Raw genomic sequence first — 16,526 nt, forward strand, 5'->3', positions numbered from 1 at the left:
ATAGCCCAAGCTGCTCAGCATAAGAAACAGCTGTATTTCTTGCTCCCTCTTCAGCTCTGCTTCTCTCTCACTCCATGGCTTCATCTGTTTTCTTTGTTCTGCTCCCTGTTCCGTTGTGCTATATATTGTGCAATCTCCCATAAGGAGAAGAAGGATGCATTAAAGTGCAGGTACCTCGGCACTCCATTCCACTGTGTTTCTCTTTGCTATTTCCAATGTGGCTTAGGCGTAAGCATGAAATGAAATTCCTCAGTGCTCCCTGGACGGACTCTCGGTGCACCTGTGACTGAGAGAAGCAGAGCACGTTCCCCGGGTACTAAATCATCTCTTACATCACCTGGAGCCGTGGAGAAGGCCAAAGCTCTATGCTCTGGAGTCCATACTGGATGAGAGGAATTCTTCCCTTTAATCACTGCGCTCGGGCATATGAGGGCTGCTGGGTATTCTGAGGGAGGGATGTCAGCAGGTTGTCCTGTCTCCTGTCTCCAGGGAGGTTCTAGGACTTCCCGAAGAAGAGCTGGTGTGCCTTAGGTTGCACACTCCTCCAGGTGTAGGGTCCTTTTCCTTGACTATGATTATTGGCGTGGGTGTTTTATTTCCTCTCCTGGAATGTTAGCTCTGTGATAGCAGGAACCTCTAGTATAACATAATACAGAGCACTTAGTGGGTTCAGTAGATGCCTTCATTTGGGTTCCCCCAGAAACAGAGCCTGAAACAAAGGGTTTGAGTGCAAGTAGTTTATTTTGGAGGTGAAGAGAGCATCACTAGGGGAGTGGCGAGTAAGACTGGGAGGGAAAGACATCCCCTCTCCAAAGGGTGTGTTATGAAGATTGCTCCTGTGGGTGATGGGGGCTTAATCCTGCTGCGGAAATTTACATTTAACCTGCTCTTGGGCTGAGGGAGCTGGGGTATTTGTATTAGGTTGGTGCAAAAGTAATTGAGGGTTTTGCCATTACTTTTAATGGCAAAAAAGTACTTTTAATGGCATTAAAAGTAATGGCAAAACCCGCAATTACTTTTGCACCAACCTAATACATCAGTTCCTGGTGTTCTTTTTTTGGGGGGCGGGGAGGGGGAACAGGGTCTCATTATGTTACCCAGGCTGGAGTACATTGGCATGATCATAGCTCATGGTAGCCTTGACCTCCCGGGCTCAAGTGATCCTCCCACCCCAGCCTCCCAAGTAGCTGTGAATACAGCCATGCACCACTGCACCTGGCTAATTTTAAAATTGTTTATAGGTACAGGATCTTGCTATGTTGCCCAGGCTGGTCTTAAACTCCTGGCCTCAAGCGACGCTCCCACGTCGGCCTCCCAAATTGCTGAAATTACAGGTGTGAGGCACTGCACCGTGTTCCGGGTGGTCCCTAGTTGAGAGATTTAGGGGGTGGAGTAATCGCTTAGGCATCAGCAAAGAAGGTTTCAGGCAAGGAAATGGAGGGGCTGGAGTCAGAAGTTGTGCGGTGTGCCCTGAAGCTCAGGGCACAGGTAGGCAGCACAGGTAGATGCGGGTAGATGGCACAGGTAGATGCAGGTAGACATATGCCTGGGACTGATGCCTGGGACTCCCCTAGTGATGCTCTCTTCACCTCCAAAATAAACTACTTGCACTCAAACCTTTGTTTCAGGCTCTGTTTCTGGGGGAACCCAAATGAAGGCATCTACTGAACCCACTAAGTGCTCCATATTATATTATAGTAGAGGTTCCTGCTATCACAGAGCTAACATTCTAACTCACCACCTGTAGGGTGGTGAATCTGGGAGAAGTGGGGCTGCATCTGTTAATGCTGTCCTCCTTAGGGTTTATTCTCAGTTCTTAGCCAAGGAGAAGCCTAAGGGAACCAGTGATTCACGCCTTGGGACGACTGGATGAGGATTCGGCTGAAATCTTACACTATGTCCAGCTGCAGTGCCTGAGCTTTTATCCTTCCTCTGACTCTGCATTTCCGATCTCTCCTTCCCCAGGTGTAAGGAGCTCAAGTACTCCAAGGACCTGCCCCAGATATCCATCATATTCATCTTCGTGAACGAGGCCCTGTCGGTGATCCTGCGGTCCGTGCACAGTGCCGTCAATCACACGCCCACACACCTGCTGAAGGAAATCATTCTGGTGGATGACAACAGCGACGAAGGTACAGGGGTGGCTGACCTGTGCACAGGACATGATGACAGCAGGGGGAAATGCCACTTTCATTCCAACGCGAGCCCGAGCATCTGTGTCTCCTGGTCCCTGGAGCATATCTGGGGAAGGGATATTTTTTCTTTTTCTTTTTTTGAGATGGAGTCTTGCTGTGTCGCCCAGGCTGGAGTGCAGTGGCATGATCTCAGCTCACTGCAACCTCCACCTCCCGGGTTCAAGCGATTCTCCTACCTCAGCCTCCCGAGTAGCTGGGATTACAGGCACCCGGCACCACGCCTGGCTAATTTTTGTATTTTTAGTAGAGATGGGGTTTCACCATGTTGGCCAGGCTAGTCTCGAACTCCTGAACTCAGGTGATCCGCTCACCTCAGCTTCCCAAAGTGCTGGGATTACAGGAGTGTGCCACCGTGCCCGGCCCAAGATTTTTTTAGAGGAAGATATCTAGGCTTACCCTAGTCTATTATTCCTTGAGTCCTCTAGAGCAGGGGTCCCCAACCCCAGGGCCATGGACCAATAGCAGTCTGCGGCCTGTTAGGAACTGGGCTCCACAGCAGGAGGTGAGTGGCAGGAGAGCAAGCGAAGCTTCATTTATTTTTACAGCTGCTCCCCAATGCTGGAATTACTGCCTGAGCTCCACCTCCTGTCAGATCAGCAGTAGCATTAGCTTCTCATAGGAGCATGAACCCTGTTGTGAACTGCACAAGCAAGTGATCTAGGTTGTACCCCTGCCCTTTTTTTTTTTGAGATGGAGTCTCGCTCCATCACCCAGGCTGGAGTGCAGTGGTATGATCTTGGCTCACTGCAACCTTCACATCTCAGGTTCAAGCGATTTTCCTGCCTTAGCCTCCCGAGTAGCTGGGACTGCAGGCACACACCAACATGCCTGGCTAATTTTTGTATTTTTAGTAGAGACAGGGTTTTGCTGTGTTGGTCAGGCTGATCTCGAACTCCTGACCTCAGGAGATCTGCCCTCCTCAACCTCCCAAAGTGCTGGGATTACAGGCCATGAGCCACCGTGCCTGGCTGGTTGCAACCTTTTTATGAGAATCTAATGTCTGATGATCTAAGGTGGAATAGTTTCATCCTGAAACCATCTCCCCTGACCCCCATGTTCCATGGAAAAATTGTCTTCCACAAAGCCACTCCCTGATGCCAAAAAGGTTGAGGACCGCTGCTCTAGGGCTCATAAGAATCATTGACTGGCCATGGATCTAGATGAACTTCCTTCTTCTCATTAGCTAAAGCAGATGACAGTGAAGAGCTGAATTCCTCCTCCACTCCCCACCCCGCACCCCATCTTTGTTGTCCTTCTCCAAAAAGCGAAATAAAAAATTCCATCCCGTGTTAGGAACTGTTTATCTACATTGGAATTCTCCTCTGGGCCACTGTGCCCAAAATGATCTTAAGTAGAAGTGAGTGGTGTTTGCTCATCTTCTGGAATTCAGCGCTACTAGGAATGATGGCTCAATGAAAACTGTACAACAGGCAAATATTGCATGTCAATAACAAAACTCCTGGGAGATCCTTGGAGATATTTAACAGTTGGACAAAGGCGTGGCATCCAGGGCAATGGGGGTGGGTGCTGCTGATGGTGCCTTTGTGTTGGATCCCAACCTGCAAAATTCAGTGTGCTCACTGCTGGGAGCCACCCCCACAAGCTCATGAGATAAAAGAAAGCCAGCTAGAGTGAGTGCCTGAAGGCCAAGAAAGCTTATCTTCTCAGCAACTACAGGATTAGGAGTAGGCTAAACCCCTTCCTTTCATCGTGCTGGGTAGGAGAGGGATTACCCTGCAAGCTGCTCCGTCGTCCGGAAGATGGTGAGGAGGAGGCAATGCCACGGGTCCTGTTTAAAACCGGATTATCTTGAGGAGCACAGGAATGAGCCTCTCCTATTTAATCAGCCTGGGAGCTGATATCCCTGGCCCCTTCTGAACCGGCCCACTCTTCTGAAGGGCTTGGGTGCACCTGGGCCCAGTGGTTTGCCTTCTCTGGGACCTCTGGCTTACAGAGATGGGTCATTTGTTGGATTTTTCACATCCTTAGTTTTATTTCCTTACCTTTGGCCATTAGTTATCTATAGATTCTTCTAAACCTGAGAATGGTTGTCTCCTTGTGAGAAGGAGGCTCTTTCAGTTCCTGGAAGCCTCTAAGTTGTGCAGCAAAGTCTCTTTCCTTGACATGCCCACGGCTCTCTGCTCTGTGGCCTTTCTCTGCACCTACCACAGACCTCTTGCTCCAGCAGTCCTTCCACACACCCCTGCATATTTTCCCCAGGCCAGAAATCTCTTCTCTCGAACTCCCTGTTCCTGTGGCCCCCTTCATCAGCCTTCTAAGTCCCACCTGTTTCCCAGCTGTCTCCAGCAGAGCACTTCCTCAGAGAAGCCTCCTCTGATCTCTGAGTGGGGAAGTAAGACTGTGAAGGGAAGCCATTGTAAAAAGATTGGTACTGTCAGTGTCAGAGCTTAATCCCACTGGGGAAAATCCAGGAGCAAGTGTAAACCCAGACCTCAGAGTTAACTTGCTCCAAGTGCGAGGGAGCTGTGGTATTTATACACCTTTAGGATAATGAGGCCCCGGTTCTGTGCTATCTTAGCACCTTGCTACTAGCTGTCGCACTTACTAGCATGTGGTGTGTCTGCACAGTGGACTCTCTGAACTGGGTGGGATGTTTCCCAGGGCCTGGCTGGTGGTTGAAACTCAGTAAGTCTTTCAACAAGGGAGTGCATGATGAAGCCAGGTAGCACTAAGAAAAGTGCAGGTGTGAGCTAGTGGCAAAAAGACTGGAGGTGGCCCGGGGCTAGAACACCCAGAGAGGAGCATGAACTGCAGATCGGGCTGGATTGGGGTGAAGACTCACTGCCAATGGCGCACCCTCTCCTGAGGAAATCTAGGTAGAGCCCAGCCCAGGAGGAGGAAGGGAAGGTTAAGGCAATCTCAGCCATAACTCCAGCTCCTTGACCGCAGGGATCTCCAGTACAGGGTTAGACACTTAGTGGGTTCAGTAGGTGTATTAGTCCCTTTTGTGTTGCTATAAAGGAATTCCTGAGGCTGGGTGATTCATTGATTGACAGATTGATTGATTGATTTTGAGACAGGGTCTCTCACTCTGTCGCCCGGGCTGGAGTGCGGTGGTGCGATCACAGCTTGTTGCAGCCTCCAACTCCTAGGCTCAGGTGATCCTCCTGTCTCAGCCCCCTGAGAGGCTGGGACCACAGGCATGTGCCATCATGCCTAGCTAATTTATATATATATTTTTTGTAGAGATGGGGTTTTGGCATGTTGCTTAGGCTAGTCTCAAACTCCTGGGCTCAAATGATCCTCCTGCCTCAGCCTCCCAATGTGCTGGGATTACAGGTGTGAGTCACCATGCCTGGCCTTGGGTGATTTATTTAAAAAGAAGGTTTTATTTGTCTCACGGTTCTGCAGAATGTACAAGAACCATGGCACCAGCATCTGCTTGGCTTCTGGTGAGGCCTCAGAAACTTCTAGTTATGGCAGAAGGGAAGGGGAGCAGGTGAGTGTCACATGATGAGAGAGGGAACAAGAGAGTGGTGGGGAGGTCCCAGACTCTGTGAGAACTTCCTCATTACCATGAAGGAGGCATCGAGCCACAAATGAGGGATCCACCCCCATGACCCAAACATTTCCCACCAGGCCTCACCTCCAACATTGGGGGTCACATTTCAACATGAGATTTGGAGGGGACAAATATTCAAACCATATAGTAGGTATCTTCATTTAGTTTCCCCCAGAAGCAGACCCTGAAATAAACATCTTCAAGTAGATGGGTTTATTCACATCAAGAGTGCAAGTAGTTTATTTGGGAGGTGAAGAGAGCACCAGTAGGGGACTGGGGAAGTAAGAATGTGAAGGGAAAGCATCCCCAAAAGATTGGTAGTGTGGGTGATGGAGCTTAATTTCACTGGGGAAATTCCAAGAGCCAGTGTAAACTCAGACCTCAGAGTTAACTTGCTCCAAGGGTGAGGAAGCTGGGGTATTTATACACCTTTAGCAGCAAATGTTTTAGTGTAAGAACCCCCTGGGACTCCACCCTGGAGGAAGTTCTGCTTCAGGAGGCTTGGGGTAAGGCTGAAAATGTGCATTTCTTATAAGCTCCTATTTGATGCTTACGTAGCTTGTGTGGGGAGCACACTTTGAGAACCATTGGGTTAGGTAACCACGCCTTGAGCCCTGTCTGTGAGTCCCATTTTAATGGTTCACATTTCAGTTCTACATGAAGATGTTCAGTGAGTAAGAAAATGGGAGGAGGAGGTATTTGGTTCAGCCAGACCATAAATCAATATCCATTCATCATCCTCCTCCTCCTCTCCCAAATACCCAGGGGACCGGGAGTTGACGATATTAACATGATCTCCCTCTTTTCAGTTCCTGGTTCTGTTCTCTATGTTTTTTCCCCGGGCCAGAAATCTCTTCTCTTGAACTAGAAGAGGAATCTAATATTTTTCATTTTATTAAGATGTTCTTTGTAACTGGTATTATCGAGTTTTGTAAATGTTCTACGTCTATTTAAAAAGACCCCCACACACTGTAATCATGGAATTGAATTCCTGCCAGACATCAATTTTGTGTATTCTGGTAGGCTATGAGTTTATTTTTTTTAAGTCTTTTTGATAATGGTGTTTTAAAATCTCCTTTTATAATGACTCTTCCTTCCTGTGTTCCTAATACTTGTTTTCTGGTATCTTGTTGTCAGTTTCTTTGGCAACTATAGATTTGTATCTGCATGGCTTCATTAATAGTGATGGTTGTTACCATTATGTAATGCTCTCTTTATCTTAGAAGCATACTCTGTTTTTTTTGCCTTGAATTTAGTTCTTCTTACATTAATATTGTTGTTCCTGCTTGCTAGTTCACATTTGATTAAAACTTTTTTTTCCCAGCCTTACAATTTTGTTTTCTGATCTTAAAAGTAATGCGTGCTCTTTGTTGGAAAATTCGAATGTATCAAAAAGCAAATATAATTGGAAAAAAATAAATACTGAAGAGACTAACCAGAGGCAACTGCTCATTCGCCCATGCCCTTACCCTCTTTAATGCACATTTTGCATAGTTAAGATCAATAGTATAAACAAGTTGATGTTCTGCTTTTTCCCCCGAAGTGTAAAGCATAATCAGTGCCCCCCTTTTTTTTTTATTAAAAAATCTCTGCAAACATCATTTTAATGAGGGCAGATTGATCTATTCTCAGACTCACTAAGCTCTGGTCAAGATGGGCTCAGGGAATGGGTGTACAAAGCCGGGGCACTCTGGAGAAGCAGACGAGATGAGACTGCAGATTTTCCTTTGTCAGGGAATTTTGTTTTTATTTTAAGTCATTTGTTTCACTCAGTTTGAATATTGACATTGGCCTGTGTTAAGCCCAGGTAAGATGCAATTCTTTGTACTCTGTACATCCAGCTGAAATCATTCAGGCAACATTTGCCAGAAATCACTGCTCACCAAGTCCAGCGAGCATTTTGCTGCCCAGATCTTTTGGCACCATCTGATATTGTCACGCAGCTTCCTTGATGGGGTGTATCGCTCCTCCTGGTGCCCCGACACTACTCTCTGCTGATTCTCCCCGATCTTCTTTTTGCAGCTGTTCTTCTCTTCCTTGGTTTCTTAGTCCATTTGTCTTTCTACAAAGAATACTTGAGTCTAGGTAATTTATAACGGAAAGTAATTTATTTCACACACGGTTCTGTAGACTGTACAAGAAGCATGATGCCAGCATCTGCTTCTGGTGAGGGTTTCAGAAGCTTCCACTCATGGTAGAAGAGGAAGGGGAGCTGGTGAGGTCACATGATGAGTGGAGAGAGAGAGGGGAGGAGGTGCGAGGCTCTTTTTAACAGTCTGATTTCATGGGAACTAAGATGGAGAACTCACTGAATTCCATAAGAATGGCACCAAGCCTTTCGCGTCCATGACCCAAACACCTACCACCAGGCCCCACCTTCAATATTAGGGATCACATTTCAACATGAGATTTGGAGGGGACAAACCATATCACTCGGCCCCCTCCCTTCTTAAACTGGGATCACTTGTGATTCTCAGCATCAGGACACACTGGGCAGTCTGCTCCACTTTATGTGTTCTGACAGTTTCCCATTGGAATTGTCCAATAGGATCTACCACTCAAGCCCAGAACAATTCAAACCTGTAAGGCCTCTGTCTCCCAGATGGTCATCCTGGGTCTTTGTAGCTCCATTGGTCCAATGATGAACTTACTGTGTTTGCCTTGATCTTTGTTTGGGTGACCAGGATGGAGGAATTCGGGTGCACAGAGGTATCACAGTCATAATACTTGACACACTCCATCACTGGTTCATGCATAGCCATTCTTTATTTTTCCTCACTTCTGATTGAGATGTAATTCACATACCATAAAATATACTATAAAAATAAAATAGACCAGGCACTGTGGCTCACACCTGTAATCCCAGCACTTTGAGAGGCCGAGGCGAGCAGATCACTTGAGGTCAGGAGTTCGAGACCAGCCTGGCCAATATGGGGAAACCTTGTCTCTACTAAAAATACAAAAATTAGCTGGGTGTGGTGGCACGTGCCTGTAGTCTGAGCTACTCGGGAGATGGGGGCAGGAGAATCACTTGAACCTGGGAGGCGGAAGTTGCATTGAGCCGAGATCATGCCATTGCACTCCAGCCTGGGCATCACAGCAAGAGTCTGTCTCAAAAAAACAAAAAATAAAGTATACAATTCAGTGATTTTCAGTATATTCAAATGATTTGCACCTATCACCACTACCTAATTCCAGAACATTGTCATCACCTGCAAAATAAACCCTGAACCTGGGAGTAGCCTCTCCCAATTCTACCCTTACCCCATTCCTTGCCAAATATTAATGTATTTTCTGTTACGATAAATTTGCCTCTTCTGGACATTTGATAATAAATGAAATCTACAACATGTGGCCTTTTTTCCTGGCTTCTTTCACTGAACATAATGTTTTCAAGGTTCAACCAAATTGTGGCATATATAAGTACTTCATTCTTTTTATGACTGAATAATATTCTGAGTATAGATACAGCACATTTTATTTATCTGTTTATCAGTTTAGTTGATAGACATTTGGGTTGTTTCTACTTTGGGGCTATTAGGGATAATAGGGCTATGAATATTCATGTACACATTTTTGTTTGGATATGTTTTCAGTTTTCTTGGGTACATATCTAGGAGTAGAATTGCTGGGTTATGTGATAATTCTGTGGTTAACTTTTTGAGAAACTGTCAAATTGTTTTCCACAGCCAGACTGTTTTTCACCTCAGCTGCACCATTTTACATGATCACCATTCATATATGAGGGTTCCAGTTTCTCCACATCCTTGACAATTGTTACTTTTTTAAAATTATGGCCAATCTAGTGGATATAAGGTGGTATCTTGTAGTTTGGATTTGCATTTCCCTAATGACTAATTATTTTGAGCATCTTTTCATGTGCTTATTTTTCATTAGTCTATCTTCTTTGGAGAAACATCTATTCAAGTACTTTGCCCATTTTAAAATTGATTATTTGACTTTTTAAATTATTGACTCATAATTATTCTTTATTCTCTTTATACTCATCTTTATCAAATATTCTGCAACCAATTTTTGCAAATATGCTTGCAAATATTTTCTCTCTTTCTGTGGGTTGTCTTTTCACATTCTTGATAATGTCTTTGGATGCACAAAAGTTTTTAATTTTGATAAAGTCCAGTTTTTCTTTTTTTCCTTTGGGTGCTTGAGCTTTTGGTGTCATATCTAAGAAACTGTTGCCTAATCCAAAGTCACAAAGAATTGAACCTTTGTTTTCTTCTAAGAGTTTTATAGTCCTAGCACTTCCATTTAGGTTTATATCCATTGTGAGCTAATTTTTGTATATGGTTTGAGGTAGGGATCCAAATTCTTTCTATTTTTCTTTTTTACATATATAGTTATCCCATGAGCATTTGTTCAAGAGTCCAATTTTTCCTCATTGAATGGTTATGTCACCCTTGTCTAAAATCAACTTACTGTAAATATGAGGAGTTATTTTGGGACTCTCAATCCTATTTCTTTGATTTATGTGTCTATGCTTATGGCATGATCACACTGTCTTGATAACTTTTTCTTTATAGTAAATTTTAAAAGTGGGAAGTGTGAGACCTCTCACCTTGTTCTTTTTTCAAGATTGTTATGTCTATTCTGGGTTCCTTGCATTTACATATTAATTTCAAGACCAGCTTGAACATTTCTCTGAGAAATAGCTGTTAGAATTTTGTTGGGATTGTATTATATGTGTAAATCAATTTGGAGAGTATTGTCATCTTGATAATATTAATGCTTGTAATCCATGAACATAGATGTCTTTCTATTTATTTATGTCTCTAATCTCTTTCAACAATGTTTTATAGTTTTCAGTATACACATTTTACACTGCCTTGGTTAAATTTATTTCTTAATGTTTTATTCTTTTTAATACTATTATAAATTGAATTGTTTTCTTAATTTCATTTTTGCATCATTTATTGTTATTGTATAGAAACACAACTTATTTTTGTATGTTCATGTTGTATCCTTTAACTTTGCTGAACTTGATTATTAGCTCCAGTAGGTTTTTTTGTAGATTCTATAGAGCTTTCTATATAGAATATTGTGTTATCTTCAAATAGTGATAATTTTACTTATTACTTTCCAATCTGGATACTTTCTATTTTTCTTGCTTAATTACCTCCTCTATTTATTTTTAAAAATGTATTTATTAATAAATATCTCTTTTCCTACCATGTCAAGGATGAGAACATTCACCCATATACCTTCCTAAGGGTTTATAAAAGCCTCTTCTGGAGAAGACGGCTAAGTCATGAGTGAGCTCAGTAAACATGGGACTCACCATAGTGGGCTATTGTGTGGACCAGGTACTGGACTTAAGGCAAAAATCTGGACAGAATGCAATGGGCTTCTCTGTATTTACTGCTTCTGATCTTATCAAGACCTACTGCCTATCCTCAGGAGCAGGTCAAAGCAGAACATGTCTTGAGAGATACGAGATATGATACAGTGAATGTCTTCCACTGATCCAGGCAGTAGACAGAAAGCCTGTAGTCAGAACATCCAATTATAGATAAGAATGGGTGCTATACTCATTCAGGCAATCCATCCTCAGCTTAAAATGAGGTACATTTGCAGGAGCAGTGTTAAAAATGACAACTCTCGCTGCATCTATCTGAAGTCACACTGCCCTGTTATGGAGGTTGGCCTCTGTGGCTGTGCGTTGTTGTCGTCTTGGATCTCCCTTCACTGTCTTCTTGTGGACTCTCTGACCCTCTTCTGTGCTGTCTCCTGTGCTCTTCTCTTGGTTTATGTTCTTATTTTGGTGGAACACAACACCTGGAAGCTTCTTAAGAGAGACTGCAAGGAAGAGAAAATCTTTCAAGTTCACTCATGCCTCTAAAGATGGCTTTAGCCTCATCTTCTAGGTGAATGATGGTGTCGTTGAGTTAGATGTTGCCTTCTTTCAGAATTTTGATGGTTTTGCTCCATTATTGTCTTTGTTGTTGTTGTTGTTGTTGTTGTTGTTGTTGTTGTTTTAGAAGAACCAAAGGCATTCTGATTTCCTGGTTTTTTGCATGTTCTTTTTTCCTTTCTGGAAGCCTGTAGAGTCTTTATCTTGTCACCATAGTTTTAAATTTCACAATGATGAGCCTTGATATGGGTCAGTTTGCATTGATTAGATGGGGCATTTAGTGGCTTCCATCCTCAATCTATTGTCTATCCATTTTTGGAAATTTCTTGGAATTTTAATTGATAATTCCTCCTCATTTTTTCTGTTCTCTCTTTCAGCATCTTTCATTATTCTAGTTTGGGGCCTCCTAAATTGAACCTCTAATTTTCTTATTTTTCTCTGCTATCTTATCTTTCGCTATCTGATATTTTTGCTCTGTTTTCTTTATTCTCGCTTCAGTTTTTTTATTCTTCCCTTCTATCCATTTTTTCTATTTCTGCTATCATAGTTTTACTTCCAAGTGATCATTTTTATTCTCTGAAAGCTCCTTTTATAACATATTGTCCTTTTTTATTGGAAGCAATATGTTTTCTTGTCCCTGGAGGATGTTAATAATATTTTTTGTTTTAACTTTTTCTCCCTGCATAGTCTGTTTCTAAAAGTTACATTTTTCTCATTGATGTTTAGTTTCTATCTTTCATGTTGGAGGCTTTCCTTAGATATCTGGTGAGTCTTTTCTGCTTATGATTATCTCTTAAATAGTGATTAGACAGCCAGGGGCTGGGTGGAGGGGGAATGGGGAGTTATTGCTTAAGGGTATGGGATTTGTCTGAAAAGATGAAAAAAGTTGTGGAAATAGATGATGATCGCACAATAATAGGTATGTACCTAATGTCACTGAACTGTATACTTAAAATGGTTAAAATAGTAAATTTCATGTTATGTCCATTTTATCAGTTTTTAAAAAGCTGATCAGACATTGTGCACTTGAGTTGGACTTACTGGATTTGACAATAGAGTGATTTGTGTGGGCTGAAACAAGAAGTGGGAGTGGGGGCTGGACGTGGTGGCTCACGCCTGTAATCCCAGCACTTTGGGAGGCTGAGGTGGGACGATCACTTGAGGTCAGGCATTTGAGACCAGCCTGGCCAACATGATGAAACCCCGTCTACGCTAAAAATACAAAAAATTAGCTGGGTGTGGTGGTGCACGCCTGTAATCCCAGTTACTCAGGAGGCTGAGGCAGCAGAATTACTTGAGCCCGGGAGGTGGAGGTTGCAGTGAGCTGAGATTGCGCCACGGCACTCCAGCCTGGGCAACAGAATGAGATTCCATCCCCCCTGCCCTCCTCCAAAAAAAATGTGGGAGTAGGAATTTACCGATCAGTTTCTTTTCAAATAGCCTTCGTGCTAGTCTTCCTTATTCTGGTCTGTCCATTTTACCCCCAGTTCCAAAGGCACCTGCTGCTGCCGGTTCCATTGCCTCTTGAGTGTCCTCTGGTATATATCGAGTTGATTTCTCAGTTTTGGGCATTGTTAGCTTGGGATCATCTGTCACACATCTGTCACTTGGTTAACCCTCTGATTCTGCGTTCTAGCTTCCTCAATTTCATGGCTGTTGTCTTGTCTTGCATTTCCTCTGGCTTTGGAGGGTTATGGTTTTTGTTGTTGCTGTTTGTCTATTTTAGAAATCCTTTTACTGTAGTTTTTTTGTGAATTTTGACTAGTGGTCTCTGATTCATGAGTTAAATTCATCATCTTATTCTGAAAGTTTTATATTCATCTTTGAGAATGTTTAATATAAATTGATAAACTGTCTTCCAGGTATGTGGTAATGTCACATGAAGAGTATATGAAAGGCTTTTTTTTCTCTGTATTCTTACCAACACTGAATTTTATTAATCTTTGCCATCTTTGTTGTTCTGGTGCAGGGGAAATGGCATTCCATTTTTAAGTGTGCATTTAAAAAAATAGTATTGATGATGAATACTTTTTCATATGTTTATATATTTTTTAGAGGTTTGCCTATTGATGACTCCTTATCCCTTTTTTATTGGAGTATTTATCTTTGTCTTATTGATTTACAAGAACTTTTTATTTTATTTTACTTTAAGTTCTGGGATGCATGCGCAGAACGTGCAGGTTTGTTACATAGGTATACATGTGCCATGGTGGTTTGCTGCACCCATCAGTCCATCATCTAGGTTTCAAGCCCTGCATGCATTAGGTATTTCTCCTAATGCTCTCCCTCCCCTTGTCCCCCACCCCCTGACAGGCCCCAGTGTGTGATGCTCCCCTCTCTGTGTCCGTGTGTTCTCATTGTTCAACTCTCCCTTATGAGTGAGAACATGCGGTGTTTGGTTTTCTGTTCCTGCATTAGTTTGCTCAGAATGATGGTTTCCAGCTTCATCTGTGTCCTTGCAAGACATGAGCTCATTTTTTTTATGGCTTCATAGTATTCCATGGTGTATATCAAGAACTTTTTATATATTAAACAAACCTTTTTTACATCACTTTGCAGGCATTTCTCTCAACTTTTGCTTCTCACTTTAATTCATTCATAATCTTTTTTGGCAAGTATAAATTTTACATTATATAGTCAAATCCATCAGTCTTTTCTTTTTGATACCAAAGTCTTAAGAATGTGATTCATTATGCTTAGACTATACAAATATCGACAACTATTTTTATGAGTAAATGTTTCTTTCCAAAATAAATTCCAGACAGAGGAAATATTTTTATATAAAGTGTAAGAATTTTTTAACACAGAGACTCTGTCCCAAAGTATGGTTATCTCAATTTAATAGTAAGTCCTTTAACCACCGATATGAAATTCACTGTTTTTATCTGCTGAATTATTTAATATTTGGAAACACTGAAGCTGAATCACATGATGACTGATTGGTTATAAAGAGGAGGCAGGAGTCAAAGAGGACCCCCAGGGTCCCTGCTCAGGTGACAAGATGGGTATTGGTGCTTCTCATTAAGAATGGGATATGCTAAGAATTAAGAATCACAGGTTTGGGAAGGCAATGGACTTCACTTTTTGGATTTGTCAAGTTCCAACATCCTATGGAAATTTACTGTGCCTTTAAAACTTAGGTGAGTTGTAACTTTAGCCATAAAGTTTTCCTTAAACTACTATGAGAAGCTTCTTTGTTTTTACAATTAGTGTCCTCAATACTCTTTTCTTTTTCTTTTTCTTTTTTTTTTTTTTCTGAGACAGGTTCTTGCTCTGTTGCCTTAGCTGGAGTGCAGTGGTGTGATCTCAGCTCACTGCAACCTCCCACCTCCCAGGTTCAAGCGATTCTCCTGCCTCAGCCTCCCGAGTAGCTGCAATTACAGGTGCCCACCACCACACCTGGCTAATTTTAATATTTTTAGTACAGATGGTGATTCGCCATGTTGGCCAGGCTGGTCTCGAACTTCTGACCTCAGATGATCTGCCCACCTTGGCCTCCCAAAGTGCTGGGATTACAGGCGTGAGCCACCATGCCTGGCCCTCAATACTCTTTTATATGTCTTATTAATACTTCACTTTTTTAATTTACCTTGTTACCTTCTTTGTTGTAAAGCAGGGGTCCCCAACCCCCCAGGCCATAAACTGGTCCATGGCCTGTTAGGGACTAGGCCGCACAGCAGGAGGTGAGAGGCGGGTGAGGGAGCAAAACTTCGTCTGTATTTAGAGCCACTCCCCATTGCTCGCGTTACCACCTGAGCTCCATCTCCTGTCAGATCAGCAGTGGCATTAAATTCTTACAGAGGCATGAACCCTATTGTGAGCTGCACATGTGAGGAATCTAGGTTGCGCGCTCCTTATGAGAATCTAACGCCTATGATCTGTCACTGTGTCCCAGCACCCCCAGATGGGATCATCTAGTTGTAGAAAAACAAGCTCAGGGCTCCCACTGATTCTACATTATGGTGAGTTGTAGAATTACTTCACTATGTATTACAATGTAATAATAATAGAAGTAAAGTGCACAATAAATGTAATGCTCTTGAATCATCCTGAAACCATCCCTCTGCTCTGTCCATGGAAAAATGGTCTTCCACCAAAGTTGTTCCTGGTGCCAAAAAGGTTGGGGACTGCTGTTCTAAAGCAATAGCATGGGGAGGAAAGAGAGGAATAAAATCCCAGCCCAAACTTTAGCTATGTGGTCTTGGCCAAGGCACTTAACTTTTCTGACCTTGTGTAAGTTGGGGTAATAGTAGCTTTCATTCAGGGTTTTCATTGTGAGGTTTAGAGGTAATACTTGCAAGGCACATAGTGCAAGTCCTAACAATATCATAAAGGGTACTGTTGAGTGTGCTCATGACATTATTTGATTTGCTAACTCCAGTTCATTCATCGGTATTCAACTTGCATATCATCCACACTGGGAAACCATACTGAATTGCATTCATTTATCTGCCTATCTCTAAGTGGTAAGACACTTGATGGTAAGACCAATAGCTTGCTCTGTGCCATAATCCCAGGATCTAGCCCACAGCTAAATTACAGTAATTGCTGAATAGGTTAATTTCAATTGCACATGTGCAGAGATTTTTTTCCCCACTTCTGGAATTGTTCTGGAAGCTTTTGCATTTCACATTGTACATATTTTGGCTTGAATGCTACAGTTATTTTGGTTTAGGTGTCAGAAATTGCCTATCTCCCATCACCATCATTTGAGTTTCTTGATGATTTGGACAGTTGTACATCTTGTCACTAATACTTCCCTGTACGACAAGCATATCTGATCAACATCTTGTCTCGGTTGGTTGTATTCAAAGGTTGAAAGCAAGATGGCTGAAAACTTTTTGGAGTGGAAGGTTATACCCTCTGCACTTCCAAAAGGGATTTTGGAGAAGTCACACTGGCATTGTTTGCTTTTCTTCTTGGTTTATAATTGCAGAGA

General features: G+C 42.7%; 1 protein-coding gene across 4 annotated transcripts in view, besides 1 other annotated feature; it reads left to right on the plus strand.

The window, feature by feature from the left end:
* GALNT17 (polypeptide N-acetylgalactosaminyltransferase 17) overlaps window positions 1-16,526 on the plus strand; it is a 581,456-nt gene that overhangs the window by 254,126 nt on the left and 310,804 nt on the right. For all 4 annotated transcript variants that reach the window (NM_022479.3, XM_011516467.4, XM_017012521.3 and 1 more), the window contains exon 3: window positions 1,966-2,132. In NM_022479.3, coding sequence (NP_071924.1) covers window positions 1,966-2,132 — 167 coding nt within the window. The remainder of the gene's footprint in view (window positions 1-1,965; window positions 2,133-16,526) is intronic.
* Window positions 3,567-4,072: an enhancer, noted in NCBI's record as "NANOG hESC enhancer chr7:70854822-70855327 (GRCh37/hg19 assembly coordinates)". NCBI's record gives its function as "activates a minimal SCP1, AML or CMV promoter by ChIP-STARR-seq in primed H9 embryonic stem cells {active_cell/tissue: H9 hESC(primed)}" and the evidence as "EXISTENCE:reporter gene assay evidence [ECO:0000049][PMID:30033119]".

The sequence above is a fragment of the Homo sapiens genome, chromosome 7 (genome assembly GCF_000001405.40).
Source record: "Homo sapiens chromosome 7, GRCh38.p14 Primary Assembly".
Lineage (NCBI taxonomy): Eukaryota > Metazoa > Chordata > Mammalia > Primates > Hominidae > Homo > Homo sapiens.